Consider the following 18,358-nt stretch of genomic DNA (forward strand, 5'->3'; position numbering starts at 1 on the left):
CCTAGGGCTTGTTAAATTTAGGTAGTTTCCACACTTCGACCTTTTTTCTTAGGATGGCTCTGTATTCATTATGGATTTCATAAGTCACATGGCTGGAAGGTACCTGATATTCTTAGGATGGCTCTGTATTCATTATGGATTTCATAAGTCACATGGCTGGAAGGTACCTGATACAGATTAAACACAGAATTTAGTTAGGATAGCATTCTGTCTTTGAAGGCTGTGTGATTGCAGCCCAGGCCAAGCCAGGCAGAAGTTGGGTCACTTGAGCAGGGCCCTGCAAACACACCTGAAGGAGGTGGCATTGCTAGGACTCTACTTTTGGGGCTGAATCAGCAGAGGCAAAAGGACTGAGTAAGTCCTTGCTGAGGATGGCACAGCTCTCAGCTACAGAGCTAGGACCAGACCAGGCTCTGGGGTTCATGCGGGAATCACCAGTCTGCGCTGCTGCCTCCTCCTGTATGCGTGTGTGTGTGCGCGCGTGTGCGTATATGTGTGTGCGCGCGTGTGCGTATATGTGTGTGCACGTGTGTTTGCGCGCGTGTGTGCGCGCTTGTGTGTATATGTGTGTGCGCGCGTGTGCGTATGTGTGTGCACTGCGCGCGTGTGCGCGCTTGTGCATATATGTGTGTGCACGTGTGTGCGCGCGTGTGCGTATATGTGTGTGCACGTGTGTGTCCCCATGAGTCCTGTGGCACCACCGAGTTGTCATGAATGCTTTCGTTTAACGAGTCAGGAGCAGTTTCCCATTTTGTAGGCTGTTTTTCTGTGACCTGGATTTTAATGGCTTGGTCAACAGGTGGAAAAGTATCCACCTTTCCTTATCAGTCTGGAGGCTGGTTGGTTTTTTCTGCGTCGCCTGCGTCACCACTTCCTGATGTCAGCGCACGGGGCTCTGCGCCCCCCCAGGACTGGAGGCTCCGTGTAGATGGAGACTTTTGTTTTTGTCCCATCCTCCTGGCATGTAGAAGGCCCTCAAATACTTGTTGAAGAATAAATGGACGGGCTTTGGTATTTTATAACCTAGCAATGCACCTTTTGGTTGTTTCCAGGTTTACTATTAAAACCAACGTCTTGATGCCCCTCTTTCTGGATGCTTTTGGTGATAGAGAAGCCAAATCACGCTGGTTTTAAGCAAAAATCATGTATTTGCTCCTGAAATTTTCCTTTGAAAACTTTCTGTGTGCGGTTGTACGTCAGTATGTGGTTTTCAGCCACACTGGGAGGCGCCTTTCTCTCTCTTTTTGTCGCTATAGACATTAGTGGAAAGCCACAAGTAGCGTGGGGGCTGCCTCTAGTCACGCTTCAGCTGCAAGTGCGGTGTGAGCATCTATTTTTACCTCACAGTCCTCGCTCTGAAAAATTCTGACCACTTTTATTTTTAACATTCTGCTCTATTAGCTGGGTGCAGGGAGGAAGGAAGCTCAAATTAGTCAGTTTACTTTGTATTTATTTTTACTTGACCTTTTCACTTCCACATTTTGAGAAGAAAATGTGAGACTCTTTCCTCTGCATAATTTTCTTCCTTGAGGAGAAACCATTTTCAGTCATGCTTGGAAAGAGGTGGAGATAACCTCAGGGTAGCATGTTTAGCGTTTTCCATTCACGAAACAAACCTTAAAATGTTCATCTGTTTATTCTATGAAATAATTAGTTTCTTATTTCCCACGAATTTGAAAACCAGTACATTTCTGTGCCAAGTAATGGCTGTGTTTTCTTGACCATCCGGCAAGTCTCTACCTGGGTGTGGTGACTTGGGGACCGCGTTGTCAAAGAGCCAGTGAGGCGGGGGTGTGGAGAATTTGTTTGCCCTTTGTTTTTCACTTACCTTTTTCTGCAGGAATTGAACTAAACAATTGCTACTGACAATGATGTATTTTAATTCCTAGGAGGTTAAACTCCTCACCTAGAACAGTTTGATTAATAAACCTAATCTATTTAAGCATGTGTCAATCCTTTTGGAAATTGTAATATTCAAGGACTTGCTAGCATTTATGGCTCTTTAAATATTTCTAGTTATAGTTGCTGTCAGGATTCATTTATTTTGATTGGGTAATTAGTTTTTTACCATTATTTTAAAAACTAATAAACATTTTAATCAGATCTCATGGACAGAAAGCCAAGATTCTTGTGCTGCTTCCTAAATGCAGTGGGCGCATCTCTGTCAGTTTTTACCTGCTGGAAGGTACTCCTGAGTGCTGTGCTGAGCTCTGCCCATCTGTCCATCCTCTTGGGACACTCATCCCTTTCCCATTCTCTGCTCTGTGAGGGGATGGTGCTAGTGAGAGCTCAGGTCGAGAGGGCTGGGGTGCTCCTTCGTCTCTCAGCTCATCAGCAGTGACTTGGAAGACAATCAGGGTCTACCTGTGTTGTTGAGAAGCGTTACGCAAGCAGGAAAGCGCACAAGAGGAAGGCGCAGCTGAGTGAAGCATTGCAGAGCCCGCCAGGCTGTGCCTTCCACCCAGGCCAGCACACGGAGCGCTGCAGTCCCTGAAGGCTTCCTCAGGCTCCTCCTGTTGGCGTGGGTGCCTGCCACTGACCTCTGTGGGTGACAGGTTTGTCACTTGAGCTTGTATCCTGCAACCTGTTTGTTTGGGCGTGCCTGTTTGTTTGTTTTTAACGTTTTAATAAACTTTATTTTTTAGAGCAGTTTTATATTTACAGCAAAATTGAGGGACAGGTACAAAGATTTCCCGTATGCCCCCTGCCCCCACACAGGCACAGCCTCCCCCATTATCAACATCCGTATCCGGAGCCGTGTATTTGTTACAGTTGATGACCCCATGTTGACACCTCATTACCCAGAGTTCATGGTTTCCATGAGGGTGCACTCTTAGTGTTGGACGTTCTATGGGTTTGTACACATTTATGACGATATGGATCCATCCTTACAGTATGCAGAATTGTTTCATTGCCCTTAAAGTCCTATGCTTAGCCTATTTTTTAACTATATAAATGCAGTCAAAGGATGTGTTTTTGTGTGTTTTCTTTTGTTCAGTATTACATGTGTGATGAGACTTGCCTGTGTTGTTGCCTGTTCGTTTTTACTGCTGTACATAGTACTCTGCTGTTTGACCATATCATATATTCATTCTGCTGACGATGGATAGTTAGACGGTTTCCAGTTTGGGGCCATTATAAGCAAAACTGTTCTGACCATACTGATACATGTGTTTTGGTAAAGAAGCACAGGTGTTGCTGGGGTGGATGGGCTGGCTGTGAGCACACGCACTTCAGCGTGAGTGGGTGATGCTGGCATGGTGCCTGGTTGGGCACTCAACTGCCTGCTTTCACCACACTCCCCATGTGGCATCAACTGCTTTGGAAGTTTCTGTCTTCTTAATTTTTACCATTCTGGGCAGGTGTGTGTGGTATTTTTCTGTAGTTTTGATTCTCATGGACCTGCTTACTAGTGAGATTGAGCTTTTGTTACATTTCATGGAATTCTGGACTCTCTGAGATGCCTCCCAAAGTGCCCAGCTACAGCCTCTGTCATCAGGGAAGGAGCAGGTATGGGAATGGTGTCTCTGCACACCTCATGTCTTGCCTACATCCTTCTTCAAGAAAATACTGGTTTTCCCCCTGAAAATGATAGAAATTGACTCATCATTTTTGAGTCTAGCTCAGGTGTCTTTTCTGGAATTGCCTTTTTTATTCGGTGTAAAGAGGCACAGGGACTTCATATCTGCTATAGATGAGTGAAGGTTGCCTAGACATGCACACAAGGCCCTTGGTGGACTTCCCCTATCCCTGGGGCTCCTCATAACCCTTCCCTCTTCTCTTCCCTGGACTTTCTGGGCTGGGGCCAGGGCTTGGGGTCGGGGGTGAGCCTTCCTCTCGGTGTGTATCTCTGTGTAGAGTTGCATGGTGAGATTCGGCTTCTGTTCTAAATGCAGTTGGGTGGAAATAAAGCAGGGATGGTCCTGAGTCACCCACATTCCTCTTGGTCAGTCTGCCCTGGTGTGAGGAGCTGGCAGCCTCTGCAGACCTTTGGTCCCACTTCCCATTTGGGGGATGTAGGCTTGTGTTATAAAATAGGTGAACATGTGATTTACTGATTTACTGCTTGAACAGGGACACTTTTGAGAGTGAAAGGGCCTGCAATTATTAATGACCCCAAGATGACATGTGATAACGAGGAAGTTCTGGGGAGATCAGGTCATGATCCCCAGAGTTATGATCTCAAAGATGGAGAGTGTCATAGGGAGGATGCCCCTCTGTGAGTTGTGAGGGGCCACGTGTGTCCTGTGTACACAGGCCCTAAGGGGTGCTGGGGCCATGTGGGTAGTCATAGGAAGATGGCTGGAGTTGGGAGGCAGAATGTTTAAGAAGTATTTCACTCATTGACTAAACTTAGTTGAGTTTTATTTGTCTGTGAAAAGGGAAATCTACTTGCCTTGCTTGCACGCCTTTCCTAGGGATATTTTGGGGACTAAAATGTGATAGTGAATTTTAAAATATTGGTTGAAATGGCCAGGCTCGGTGGCTCACGCCTGTAATTCCAGCACTTTGGGAGGCCGAGGTGGGTGGATCACAAGGTCAGGAGTTCGAGACCAGCCTGGCCAACATGGTGAAACCCCATCTCTACTAATAATACAAAAATTAGCCAGGCGTGGTGTTGCACACCTGTAGTCCCAGCTACTCGGGAGGCTGAGGCAGGAGAATTGCTTGAACACAGGAGGTGGAGGTTGCAGTGAGCTAAGATCGTGCCACTGTACTCCAGCCTGGGCGACAGAGCAAGACTCTGTCTCAAAAACAAAACAAAACAAAACTATATATATATATGTGTGTGTGTGTATATATATATATGTGTGTGTGTGTATATATGTGTGTGTGTGTGTGTGTGTGTGTGTATATATATATATATGTTGACATGTGAGTTTTTCAGTTTACTCTGAACTCTCTCCTTGTCTGTTTTTTAAAGCATCCTGAAAGGGAGTGTCTGTACAGCGTCACCTGTTAACAGCCACTAGGAAGCTGCCCTGAGAGTTGGACCTGGCCGAGCTCTCTGATACTTGAGCAGCCCTGCCCAGAGGAGCCTGTGCAGCACATGAGGGTTCTTCAGTATTGGTCGGTGTTTCGGGAGCCCTTACAATGAATGAACACAGCTGCAGCCCAGTGACCCCTCTTGGACAAGTGCGGAGATCAGTTTTAGCTCAGCTGCTTTCTGAATGTTTCAGATATTTCAAACTGGAAGTCACAAGTAGCTTTTACTTTTGCAAGCAGTCTGCTGTTATGAATAGCACGTATAAGAAAATTTATAATTCAGTTAGTTAAAAATATGTTTGAGCACCTGTTAAAGCACCAGAATTCTTTTATAAATTGAGGAAAGCCATGCCATCTAACACATATGTGGCATTAAGTGTTCTTTTAATAAATATTATGCTTAGTAGACATACTCTACATACCAATCAGAGGTTGCCATCCTAAACCAAAACTACATATCCAGCACATTCTGATATTAGGCGGTGGCTTACACCAGGGAAGGCTTGGAGGTTGTTTTGGCTCCTACCCTTTAAAAGGCTTACCAGCTTTTAGATGGAGTCATAGATAAGACATGGATAGTAACAGAAAGGAAGCATGGCTTATCAGCTGTGTCAAGTCAGGACACATGTATCCCCATTCACATTGCTGAACTCAGGAAGATATCCAAGCACCATTGTGACATACTTGTCCACAGAGACCGCAGATAACCCCAGCACCCTCTCAGAGTGGTGCCTTGGTGTTTTTGTTCATAAAGCCTTGATGCTCAGGCCCATCCGTCATCCCGGGCAGGTGCGTAGCCTGTGTGGTGGATGCCAGGGTCAGGGGAGGGCTTTGCTTTTGCAGAGTCTCGAGGCTTAGGCTGAATGTGTTTTTAAAGGTCCGACTATACTGAAACAAACATTAAAAAATATTCAACATCACTTAATTTTTATTGCTTAAGAGCTTATCTGGCTCTCCCATTGGCTCAGTAATTTGGTTGCTATTAATAACGTTGTTGAGGTTGTCATCGTCACCTTAACATTGTCATCATCACCTCCAGTAATAGCTAACATTTATTGAGTTCTTCCTCCATGCAGGAACTGTGCTGAGTTCTTTTTCTGCATTATTTTATTCAGCCTTTGCTGCAGCCATCTGCAGCAGGCACTGTTACTAACCTTCTCCTGCCAGAGGGAACGCTTGAGATGCTGCAGGGTGACAGTAGCCTCAGAGCCAGGGGGCTGCATTGCTGGATCTTCAAGCAGGCAAACTGCCAACTCTGTGTTCATAATCCTGGTCATGGGCTCGCACTGACCTGTAGAGAGCTGGATATGGGGAATGGATTGGAGAGCTTTTATTTGAAACAACAGCAAAGTGGCATGATCTTTTGGGAATACACTTTTTCAAGTCATGTATCCACTCACAGACAGGCTTTGTGAGCCTCTTGCTTTGTTAAGGGCCCAGGGAAGATTTTAAGGCGACCAAACTTCCAGTGACAAACAATATTTGAAATTAGTCTATTCCTTTACCCCAGAAATGCAGAAATACATGGTTTTGGATGTTTGACCTCATTGGTTGGTGGGCATGAGGAGGTGGTCTGCTTTGGTGCCAGTGACCGTCTGTGAGTCACAGAGTGAGTGAATGCTGAGCCGCTGTGATGGGAAAGCTCTCTGCTGAGTTGGTTCAGTCTGGGTCACAGAGTGAGTGAATGCTGGGCTGCTGTGATGGGAAAGCTGTCTGCTGAATTGGTTCAGCAGTGCACCTGCTTCCTCACGGGGCATTAGCCGGTCAGGGCGATGTCTCTGGATCACTCAACTTGTCCCTGACAGAGCAAGGAATAAGAAACCCAGTTAGATTGTCTGTATCATCAGATGCCATTTACATCCCAGTCAAATTAGCAGCCAGATCACTGATTTCTTATAGGTATACATCTTTTGACTTCAGCATAATCTCTTCCCCTTTTTCTGCATCCTTGGGTTTTAAAGGATGTTTACTATGTAAATGTTTAACATGTTTACTATTTAAACTTAATAGTTGAGGTAGCTTTTAAAATTTGTGTCCATTAAACCCAAGGACTCTTGCAGAAGTCGTATGGTTTTTCTTCTTTCATCTATAATGCATGTAAGGAATTATTCACTTGCTCTAAAGTTCAAATGTGTGAGTTTCTGGTGCTGTTACATAACACGTGGTATTGTGGGTCAAGGGGAGTTAGTGTCTCACCTAAAATCTGGGGCCATGATGTCACCACATTAAATAGTAGGGATGCTTGCTCATCTTTTAAGGGTATTTCTTCCCCCTGCAAAGCAAAATGCTGAAGAGATACATATTTGTTAATTAACTGATTTCACCCTCGTCATCCATCCTCTTTCCATAAGGAACTGTATGTTGCATTCTTGCTGAGTGCAGACTAAGTCCTTTGTGCAAGGTTGGGTCATCCTGGGGTGAAAAGGTAAGTGCTTTCGGGGATGCTGATTAAGGTGGTATCTGCTGTGCCTCTCTCAGTGTCCCCAGGGCGAAATTCCTCAGGTTACAGTGGCAGGAACAGCTGCTTGAGCTCATTTTTGTCTTCTGAACAGGATCAGTCTTGGAATTGGCCTTTTCTCCATCTTCAGCCCCAGGGTGGGGCTGGCCTGGGTAGGGCCTGCGCCTGTGCTTGCTGCGCAGCAGCACCCCTGCGTGCCTTCCCTTGCCTCGGCTGCTAAGTCTTTGGAGAAAACTCTACATTGCCAAGCTTCTTCTGAAAGATTTAATTTTTTATTTAGAAACAGTATGCTTATTACAGACTGTGCAGACTTTGCAGAAATGCAAAACTAGGAAGAGACATATTAGTCCCTTTGCATAGAAGCAACTTTTGTTATTATTTTGTATGTTTCCTTTGTATCTGTATTAGTGTGTTCTCATACTGCTAATAAAGACATACCAAAGACTGGGTGATTTATGAAGGAAAAAGGTTTAACAGACTCACAGTTCAGCATGACTGAGAAGGCCTCAGGAAACTTACAATCATGGTGGAAGGGGAAGCAAACACATCATTCTTCACATGGCAACAGCAAGGAGAAGTGTCCAGCAAAATGGGGAAAAGCCCCTTACAAAGCCGTCAGATCCCGTGAGAACTCACTCACTATCACGAAAACAGCATGAGGGTAACTGCCCCCATGATACAATTACCTCCCACTGGGTCCCTCCCACAGCACGTGGGGATTATGGGAACTACAATTGAAGATGAGATTTGAGTGGGGACATGGCCAAACAATATCTGTGTCTTTTTTCATGTATATGTTTTTTTTTTCTTTTCTCAGCATAATTGATATACTGTGGTTACTCTACCTATTTGTGTAGGCCTCTCAGGTCATTGAAACAAGATGTTGTACAAATTAGCAGATGACACTGGCGCATGGAGGAATGGTTTGTATTTTAATTTTCACTGTATAACATTTTAGTAAAGCTTTTACTGGAAATGTTTTCTACCCATATCCTCAGGAAACCATGTGAAGTAGACAGCCTTGCATTTCCTGGATTGCTCCCTCGAAGGATGAAGGGAGCAGTTCTATCAGATGCTCTTCCCAGCCTCCTTCTCCAGGGAGACCTAGCCGCTGCTGTTTTGAGTTTCCTGGGAGGACATCCCCCAAGGACTCTCTGGCTTGTCCTTGTGAAGTTGGTTTGCTTTTTGTGCCAGCTTTTTAGGCTTACAAAATGTTGTGTGTGTGTACATAGGAAAAATATGGAAGGGTACGTACCCACTAGTTTGTGTCAGCACTGGATTCTGGCATATATAATAGATGAGGAGTTTCTGTTATGTATATGGGATTTCTGAGATACACAGGGGTTTTCTGTGCACATCTCTCTATAACGCAGCTGTCCCGTCACATCCTGCATGTCAGTACAGGTAGTGCCGTTCTCTTCGTAGGACTGTGACACTTTATCTTTGTTCTTTCACAGTTAAAAAAAAAAAAGCTTCTTTAAAATTCTGACTTTATATAACTAACGCAATGCTCATGCTACTTCACTTGTTACAAGAACATATTATTCTGTCCTATAGATGTACTGCAGTTATTTAATGGATCAGCTATTGATAAGGGGGCCCTTTTAATGTAACTATTTTAAAAAATGGAAGTAATACCAGCACATGGTAAAAAACACATTGCAGCTCATGAATGGGTATAAATTAAGTTGGAGATTTCCTCTTTCTCCCTCCCCACCCCATGCCCCGTTTCCAGAGGTAAACAATGTACAGTTTGTGTTTTCTTCTCTTAAGTTCTTCTTGTAGTCACCATTATAGCTTTAACTTTTCTGTTTGTGAGTTCATGTGGAAGTCAACAGTGCCTTCACACTCTGAGTTTTGATGAGATTTATATTGACAAGGCTTAAAACATTTGTAGTGTTTCCCATCTATCATTAGGCTCCCTGTGCTTTTCCTGCAAGTGTAGTCTAAACATTTTAATATAAGAAAAGTAACATTTATAGTATTATGATAGTATATTTTGCCATAGAACCAAGTGGTATGAAATGTAATTCTGCCTCACCAAACCTTTGCCAATAAAAGGAGAATATTCAGATGGAACTCCCAGTTTCTCTTTAGGTGTCCGCTGTTTCTAGCTGCCTCAGTTGCCATGGTTTCTCCTATCCCATGGTGTTGGTTTCTTGGATTCTATTTTTGTTTTGCTGGAGCACCTCCTTAATCCACTTCCTTATAGAATGGATGGCTGACAGACTTCTTAATTCACTTCCTTATAGAATGGATGGCTGACAGACTTCTTAATTCACTTCCTTATAGAATGGATGGCTGACAGACTTCTTGGGTTTTTGCACGTAATGTTCAAACATGCAATTACTTTGTTCTCATACTTATTGATAATTTGGTAGGGTCTAGAATTCTAGGATCGTATAATTTTCCTTTTGAAATCAGAAAATATTCTCTATTATTTTCCAGAGTCTAGTGTTGGTAATGAGAAGTTGGATATCCGTTTGATCCTTGTTCTACTGCAGGTAAACATCTTCTACTCTCTCCTTCTCTCCCTCCCTGGGCTTCATGTCCTGACGGTTTGATTTTTCGTTACCCTAAACCCGGATCTGCTTCTCTTCCAGCCCGCGTGCCCATATTGGGATCACCCCTTAGAAAACCTCAGGCTTTCTTTGGAGAGCGATTCTCAGGTTTCAGCCCAGGAATAAAAGCGTTCCCTATGGCTCCTGCTTCTTGGGAAGACCCCTCACCTCTGTTGTCTTGCTCTGCAGTTTCCTCTGCTCTCTCGCATCAACCTGCTTTCGTCTGCCTTATGCCCTAAAAGCCCTGGCAGGCTTTCTTGTGTTCTGCTAAATCCCTCTGTAAATTTTTAGCACCGTGCACTATTATGGTTCATTCACCACCAAAAAGTACCTTTTCTGACATTTTAACAGAGCTCTGGGAAGAATGGAGAGAAGATATGGTGTACTTTATCACCATTTTTAATTAAAAGCCCTTTTAATTAATTAATTTAGAGGCAGGGTCTCGCTCTGTCACCCAGGGTGAAGTGCAGTAGTGTGATCGTGGCTCACTGCAGCCTCCACCTTCTGGGCTCAAGCAATACTCCTGTTATCAGCCTCTTGAGTAGCTTGGACCACAGTCACGTGCCACATTGACTGATTAATTTTTAAATTTTTTGTAGAGGTGGGGTCTTGCCGTGTTGCCCAGACTGGTCTCGAACTCCTAGGCTCAAGCCATCCTCCCACCTTGGCCTCCCAAAGTGCTGAGCACACCACTGTGCCTAGCCTAAAAGCCTTTTTAGATCACTCTCAGTGGCAAAATTAGTGCCTTGGTCACCTTTACCAGTAGCTGTTCTTGCTCTCCAGTGGAAATATCACTCAACATTATCAAAGAATCGGGATGAAATTAAATGAACCAGTTTAGGTACTTTTGATACAGAAGTTCTTATGAGACGTGTTGTTCTTTACTATGTAAGAGTGTGGCCATAAACTTAAAAATAGCTGGGTAACTTTGTTACACTTGCCTTGATGGTGTGTTGCAAGTTAGTTAAATTTCATATACTCTTAATCAGCACATCACCAACAAATAAAATGTTACTGCTGCATCAGAATTTAGAGGAGGTTCTATACATCTGTTTCGAAATAAAGACGGAGATGACTTAGGGTACTTATAAGTTGTTGAAAAATCATGGCTCCTGAAACTATGAATTGTCATCGTGGTATATACCCAGACAGCCCACATTAAACTGCTGTGAACATGAGAAAATGGACATCGAAATGATAAAAGCAAGAGTGTTGGTAATTGAAATCCATTATAAATAAAGCTGTCATTGGTAACGCACGAAATGCTGTTTCTGAGGATGAGGACTTTGTGGCCCCCACGTGGGCGCATTACCAAGCTTTGCAGCTCTGCACAGGAGCCTCCCTTCTTGATACTGAACTAGACCTCTATAAAGCCTAGTAACACCTCAGGTTTAGGTTATAAATCTTAAATTTTAGTGCCCCGTAATAATTCACTTCGTAGGTTACCATGGACTAGCCCTTAGTTGCACTGAGAAAAGAAAGGCTATGAAATTTTGTTGGTGAAGTGCCAAAGAAAGGATTGGGTTTTGGGTCATCTCACAGCCCATGGTGAGGGCTGTCTTTGGCCTCTACCGCACGGACAAGTTTGCATGTCAGATGTTGGCACACTTGTGGGGTATTGGGTTCTTTTGAATATCTGATTAAATCCATTTACATTTTCGTTAGAAAAATTCATCTGTGCATATGAACGCATCATTTCATATATGATTTCACACTTCTCATTGTCTTCCTGAAGCCCATTCGTGAACTGTCGATTGAATGCCTGCTCTGGAGAGGAGTGTGAAGCTGCACTTCTTCCGTCTCCTCCTGGCACTCGCTCAGGATCCTCACAGGTGTGGAAAACACTCTAAGGAAGCCTGCGAAGGCCAGATGTCTCCCTTTTGCCTTCTTTGGTTCTGTTCATGATGGCCTTATCACGGACACACTAGGACCCTCTGAGGACACCACCCCTGCCACCGCATTGCTCTGGGGGCAACTTCCGAGCTTATTGTCTTCCTCCAGCAAGGGCAGGAATGTGGAGAAGCTGTGTGTGCTGGGCCTTTACTTTCATTATTGGCGACAATGTTTGTTTTCATTTTATCAGCTTTCTTTATCCTCCATTTTTTTATCTTCCACAGGTAGTGTATATTTTGAGAACAGCGTGAGGTTTATTCTACTAATGGAAATTTACAAAAATACCAGTTTGAATGATTGAGAAATCTAAGTTAAAGAACCCTTGAATAGAAATGTCGCTGTTCAGTGCGTTGATCGATTCTCACATCTGAAGCCAGCTGTGTATTCTTGGTATGTGTGTATTCAACTCAGGTGTGACCTACTGTCTTTTATATGTCCCTGGATTTAAATATGCTAATTTTGTTATGATTTTTGTGTCTACATTTGTAAAAGCCGCTGATAGTTCATGTCTGGCACATTCTTGACAGATTTTACTACCGAGATTATACTGGGCTCGTAAAACGAGTGGGGGATGTTCCCTGTTTTTTTGTTCGCTGGAACGGTATGTGTAAGCTTTGTGCTTTTCCTTTATTCAGCCAGTGCTTTCACATGCTGCTTCCTTTTATAGCCACTCTTTTTTGCTACATATTCTTTCTCTACAAGAGCACAGTTCTTCTGGAATGTGTCCCTTAGGATTAACTATCTCAGGTGTGATTTGTGTGAAAACATCTTTATTCTTATTGTGGAAAGACTGTTGTTAGGTGGGGAGTTTACTTTCCCGTCTGCACATTGAAGATCTCATCCTGCTCCACTACTGGTCTCTTCCCTGGGCCCTGGGCATCCGCTCTCAGCCTGACTGTCCCCCTGTGCTCCCGCATCATTTCTCTGTGCTGTGTCTGGGTTCATGCTTATTTGTATTTATTCTGCTGCGGGTTAGTTGGCCGAATCTGTTTCTGTGAGAGCTCCCATGCTTTTGGTACTTTCTGTCTCTCGTGTGTCTCTGCACTGCTTTCTGGGTTATTGCTTCGGTTCTACTGCCCAGTTTGGCCATTTTCTCTTTAACTGTGTCTAATATGCTGCTAAAACCTGTCCACTGAGCTTTTAGCGTTAGTCATTATAGCTATTATTTCTGGAGGGTCTCTCTGCTTCCCTGTCCTGCCAAGTCCAATTGGTCATTCTTAGTTTACCTGTTTACTAACTGTTTGTATCTCCTTTAGCCGTTGTTTTCTGTACGTATATGGTGTGTTTGACTTTTCCAGCATGTTCAAGGCTGTTTTCCCAGCTGTATCCCCTCCTCTCGGGCCATCAACTTTTTGTTCCCCATTGTTGCTACTAATTCTTAGGACTAATAAAGCACTTCAAATGGCAGCTACTGTCAAAAATTAGGAAGAAGGCTTCTTTGCCGTAGCAGCCTCCAGTTGATTACTTTCTCTTGACCTGTACTTTACTTGCCACGAGCATATCATGCCTCTGTACTTGCTGCAGTAATTACTGTCTCGAAACAGTGAAATCTCATCAGTTGCCCATATGTGTTTAACTGCACACGCGTGCATAGTCTTGGCTTTATGCGAGGTAGAAAATGAGAGTACTTAGTTTTTGGCAGAGCAGAGCCTCAATTTCCACAGTCTAATTAAATTATAATGATAAATATCACTTTAAAAGGAAACAGTTGCTTCGTTTAATCAATATGATTATTACTGGCACAGCAAATCCATCAAGTGCTGTGAATGATAAATGTGTTTTAATACAACTTGCAGTGTACTTGCTGTTGGTACAAGGCATGTTAAATCCTCAGTGGTCCCTCTTTTCATAGCATTGCTGTGGCACTGGCATTTCCCTTTGTTAGGAGATAGTGGGGTATAAACCCATTGTGGAAACCCCTTCAGCTTGACAAATTTGGAGTCATGCTATTTTCAGAAGAGGATTTCCTGCGACTAGGAGCAGTCACCCAGAGAAAGCTCTGGAAAGGTGGTGGTGCTGGGGTTGAAGATGAGCTGCTGGCCCCTGGCATGTCAGTGGGCGGAGGTGGGAGACGTGCAGAGCTGCCTATCCCACAGTACTTCCCTTTCCCCATCCACCCTTTCAGGTGGCTCACTCCCCACCAGTTTCGCAGGATGGCTCAAGGCAAATGGAGAAAACGGCACAGGTTGAAACTCTTGGCCGTAGCTTGCGAGCTTGCCTCTTAGCACCTCCAACCACGATCTCCTTGAATGTAGTCTCCTCAGTCTCTCTTTTTTGTGTGAGGAATATAAAGTTTCTAGTTGCCTTTTCGCATAATCTCATAGCTCTTCTGCACCTGTGGTTCCTTAGCTCTTATCTGAGACCGTGGCAGGCAGACAGCTGGTTGCAGTGGTTGGTTAGTTGTTTCATATGGTTGATCATACAGCAGCTACTTGGTCCCATTGTTATTGATAGTATTGTATAAAATCAGTTGTCATTGCTGGCATTTTTTTTTGTTCTGTTGCCTGATTATTTGTTTTCTAATACATTTTTATTGTGAGATACCTTTCTTGAACATGGACACATATATAAGAGAATAATTTTAATTGCATGTCCATGTAACTCTCACCCAGGTTAAATAGACACTGTGTACCTCACAGTTTCCTTCATGCTCCTCCCTGATGATAACTCCCCCTCATCCATATGACACATCTAATATATACTACGTGTGTGTGTGTGTGTGTGTATAATTAATTATAATTATTATTATTTTGAGACAATGTTTTGCTCTGTGGCCCAGGCCAGAATGCAGTGGTGTGATCACAGTTCTCTGCAGTCTCAACTTCCTAGGCATAGGTGATCCTCCCACTGCAGCTTCCAGAGCAGTTGGGATTACAGACATGAGCCACCACTCCTGGCTAATTTTGTTTACTTTTTATAGAGATGGTGTCTCCCTGTGTTGCCCAGGCTGTTCTTGAACTCTTGGGCTCAAGCGATCCTTCCGCCTCTGTCTCCCAAAGTGCTGGGCTTACAGGTGTGAGCCATCGTGCTGGCCTTTTTGTTTGTTTTTGAGACAGTGTCTCACTCTGTCACTCAGGCTGGAGTGCAGTGGCAGGATTATGGCTCACTGCAGCCTTGAACTCCCAGGTTCAAACAGTCCTCCCGCCTTAGCCTGCTGAGCAGCTGACACCACAGGTGCACACCAGCATGCCTCGCTGAGTTTTTAATTTTTTGTAGAGATGGGGTTTCCATGTGTTGCCTAGGCTGATCTTGAACTCCTGGCCTCACGTGATCCTCCTGCCTTGGTCTCCCAGAGTGCTGGGCTTATAAGTGTGAGCCACTGTGTTTGGTAATATCCTATATTTTGAAATAATACTGTCCTTTTCTTTTTAATTTTACCATGTAAGAATGCATCCCCAATCAATGTAGTTCAGTTTTGCCTGTGATGGAACTTTATCCAAGGGGAGTCATCAGTATATTCTTTTGTGTTTCTCTTGATTTATTAATGAAGTGGATTACATAAATCGATTTTCATACATTAAATCATGTTTGCATTCCCATCATAAATTCATCTTAATCATGTTTGATCGCTTTAAAAAATATTATTGGATTGAGTGTGATCACATTTTGTATACGATGTTTACACTGTATTTGTAAGATTGACTTACTGCTTCCTTTTCATCTTCACAGAAGTGTCTTGTTGAATGTTGGATTCACTTTCTAGAGAAGCCATCTAGTCATGGAGTGTTCTTTCCAGGATGATTTTTGTTTACTGACTATAATCCATCCCTCCCTCCCTGCATTCCTTCCTTCCTTCCCTTTTCTTCTCTTTTCTTTTTCTTGAGACAAGGTCTCACTCTGTCTCCCAGGCTCTAGAGTGTGATGGTGCAATTTCGGCTCACTGCAGCCTCTGCCTCCTGGGCTCAGACGATCCTCCTGCCTCAGCCTTCTGAGTAGCTGTGACTACAGGTGCACGCCACCACACCTGGCTAATTTTCTTTATTTTTTTTGTAGAGACAAGGTCTCACTATGTTGCCAGGACTGATCTTGAATTCCTGGGCTCAAGCAGTCTGCCTGCCTCGGCCTCCCAAAGTGCTGGGATTCCATGCATGAGCTACTGCATCTGGCTTCTAATTCTTTAATGTTTGTAGTTTTGTCAGATTTTCTGTTTCCTCCTGAGTTAGTGTTAATAAGTTGTATTTCTTTTCTTTTTAAATGGTGTGTGTGTGTGTGTGTGTATGTGTGTGTGTGTGTGTGTGTGTGTGTGTGACAGGGTCTCACTCTGGTTGCCTAGGCCGGAGTGCAGTGGTGCAATCTCAGCTCACTGCAGCCTCGACCATTCAGGCTCAGGTGATTTCTCACACCTCAGCCTCCGAAGTAGCTGGGATGACAGGCGTGTGTTACTACGCCTGGCTAATTTTTGTATTTTTAGTACAGATGGTTTTGCTATGTTGCTCAGGCTTGTCTTGAACTCCTGGGCTCAAGTGATCCACCTGCCTCAGCCTCCCAGAGTGCTGGGATGACAGACGTGAGCTACCGCACCCAGCCTAATAAGTTGTATTTCTCTTGGAGTTTCTTCATTTAACCTAAGCTTACAAGCTTTTTGGAATAAAGTTTATAAAGCCTCTTACTATATTTTTAGTGTTGTCAGAGTTTAAGTGATAATTCCATTTTGGTTTCTCTTGCCGCCTGATGACCCATTCCCAACTTAGTGACATAAACAACAATCACTTTATTAATGCTCAGCCAGGTAGCCTGAGTGTCTGGAGCTCTGCTTCTGGCTGTCAGCTGTGGCTTTCTTGGTTCTTCTCAGTGTCCTGTATGAGAAGGCTTCTTCAGTGAGGTGGCTGGCTCCCGCCTGGGGCTGACTAGACATCCTTCTCTGCATGTAGCCCCTGTGATCTCTTCAGAGCATCTGAGTTGGCTCCCCAGAGACAGTGTTCCCAGAAATAGGAGGTGGAATCTGGCTTCCTCTTCAGGTGCTGGTCTGGACCTGGCAGTACCACGCCTGCTGCGTTCAATGGGCCAGAGCAGTCACCCGCCTGCTGGGACTCATTGGGGGAAGTAAGATCTTCCCACACAAGGACAGGAGAGTCACATTGTGGCCATCAGGCCTTCCTGCCCTCCAATTCAATTCCAAGGCTGGTTAATTTGGGCTTTTTCTCTTGTGTTCCCTTTCTGTGTTTCCATGAGTCTTGCCAGAGATCACTGGTTCACTGCATTGTCTTTTCAAAGAACCAATGTTTATCTTTGTGTACCTGCCGTTATATGTAATTAATACAGGTTGAATTTCTTACTAGTTCCCTTTTTCTGTTTTCTTTGAGCTTACTTTGTTCTTCTCTCCCTGACTTGTTCAGGTAGGCACTCTTTAATTTTTTTACTCCTATTCTAGCTTGAGCACCGAGCTATAAAGGTCCCTCTGATGTACTGCTTTATCTGTGTGCCACACAATTCTGTACATAATCTTTTCTAGTTTTAAGTTCTAAGTGTTTTCTGTTTTCTCCTGTGATTATTTTCTTTTGTCTATGGATTATTTAGAAGTGTATTGCTGAACTCTCAGACATATGGGACTTTCTAGTTATACTTGGCTTGTTAATTTCTAGGCTCATGGTATTACGATCAGAGGATGAGCTCTGTCTGATTTCAGCCACCTGAAATATGTTGAGATTTTCTTTACGGCTGGGATATGGTCTATTTTTAGAAGTGGCTCATGTGTCCTTGAGGAGCTGATGTGTGATGCACTGTTAGGAGCAGCGTCTTGCATGTGACCACCATGCAGCTTGTTAATTGTGTTGTGCAGATCTTCCATCTCTCCACTGTTTTGTTTTTTCAGCCGCTGTCTGCTGTCTCTGTCACCTGCTCCTCTCCACTCCCTCCATGACAAAAAGACTCCGGTGTTTTTGACCATCTTTTATTGCGCCCCTACTGTGATCTTAGTCACGGGGCCAAGCACTCTACATCTGTTCCTCCATTTAATCCTCACGGCACCATCTGCGGCGGGTGTTCCTTGTGTCCTCGTCCTGTCCTCATAGGAGCAAGCCTGGAAGGGGCTGAGTCACTGTTCAAGTCACACGACTGCAAGGCTGAGGTCTAGGGTGGTGGCCTGGACCCCTCTTTCCTGGAAGCCATGCTTTTCCTGAAACCCCTTGCAATACTCCTGGCAAGTATGGCAGTTTTACCTCAGTTGGTATGAGTGTACTCAAATGGGAGGCAACCATTCTCACACTTGATGTTTAGACTTTGCAGCTTCCAAAACCCACTCTGCATATCACCTGCTCCCTCCTCAAAGTGGCTGGGCTTCCCATGCAGTTTCCCATCCTGCAGACGGCCCAGGGAGGTCAGATTTCTTGGCCAGGCTTGCAGAGTTGGTGGGACATGATGTGGGCACTAGAACCCAGTTCTGTAAATCTTGGTTTCATGTCCTTTCTGCTGTGTTTTTCTTTCTCTGTTTAGGCGGTGGACTTTTTGGTGTGTAAAGCTT

At 44.2% G+C, this 18,358-nt stretch overlaps 1 protein-coding gene across 15 annotated transcripts in view, besides 2 other annotated features; it reads left to right on the forward strand.

The window, feature by feature from the left end:
* The window catches only part of ADARB1 (adenosine deaminase RNA specific B1), a 151,986-nt gene that overhangs the window by 34,094 nt on the left and 99,534 nt on the right, over positions 1 to 18,358 (forward strand). For 3 of the 15 annotated variants that reach the window (XM_047440660.1, XM_047440661.1, XM_047440665.1), the window contains exon 1: positions 133 to 12,288. The exons of 11 other annotated variants lie outside the window; for them this stretch is intronic. The gene's annotated coding sequence lies outside the window, so the exon portion shown is untranslated. Of the gene's footprint in view, positions 1 to 132; positions 12,289 to 18,358 lie in introns of those variants that run through there. One more of the 15 variants, XM_047440667.1, reaches the window with a different exon arrangement.
* Positions 5,107 to 5,156: a silencer, noted in NCBI's record as "silent region_13400". NCBI's record gives its function as "represses an Ori minimal core promoter by ATAC-STARR-seq in GM12878 lymphoblastoid cells {active_cell/tissue: GM12878}" and the evidence as "EXISTENCE:reporter gene assay evidence [ECO:0000049][PMID:35858748]".
* Positions 16,779 to 16,958: an enhancer, noted in NCBI's record as "active region_18586". NCBI's record gives its function as "activates an Ori minimal core promoter by ATAC-STARR-seq in GM12878 lymphoblastoid cells {active_cell/tissue: GM12878}" and the evidence as "EXISTENCE:reporter gene assay evidence [ECO:0000049][PMID:35858748]".

This window comes from Homo sapiens, chromosome 21 (genome assembly GCF_000001405.40).
Source record: "Homo sapiens chromosome 21, GRCh38.p14 Primary Assembly".
Lineage (NCBI taxonomy): Eukaryota > Metazoa > Chordata > Mammalia > Primates > Hominidae > Homo > Homo sapiens.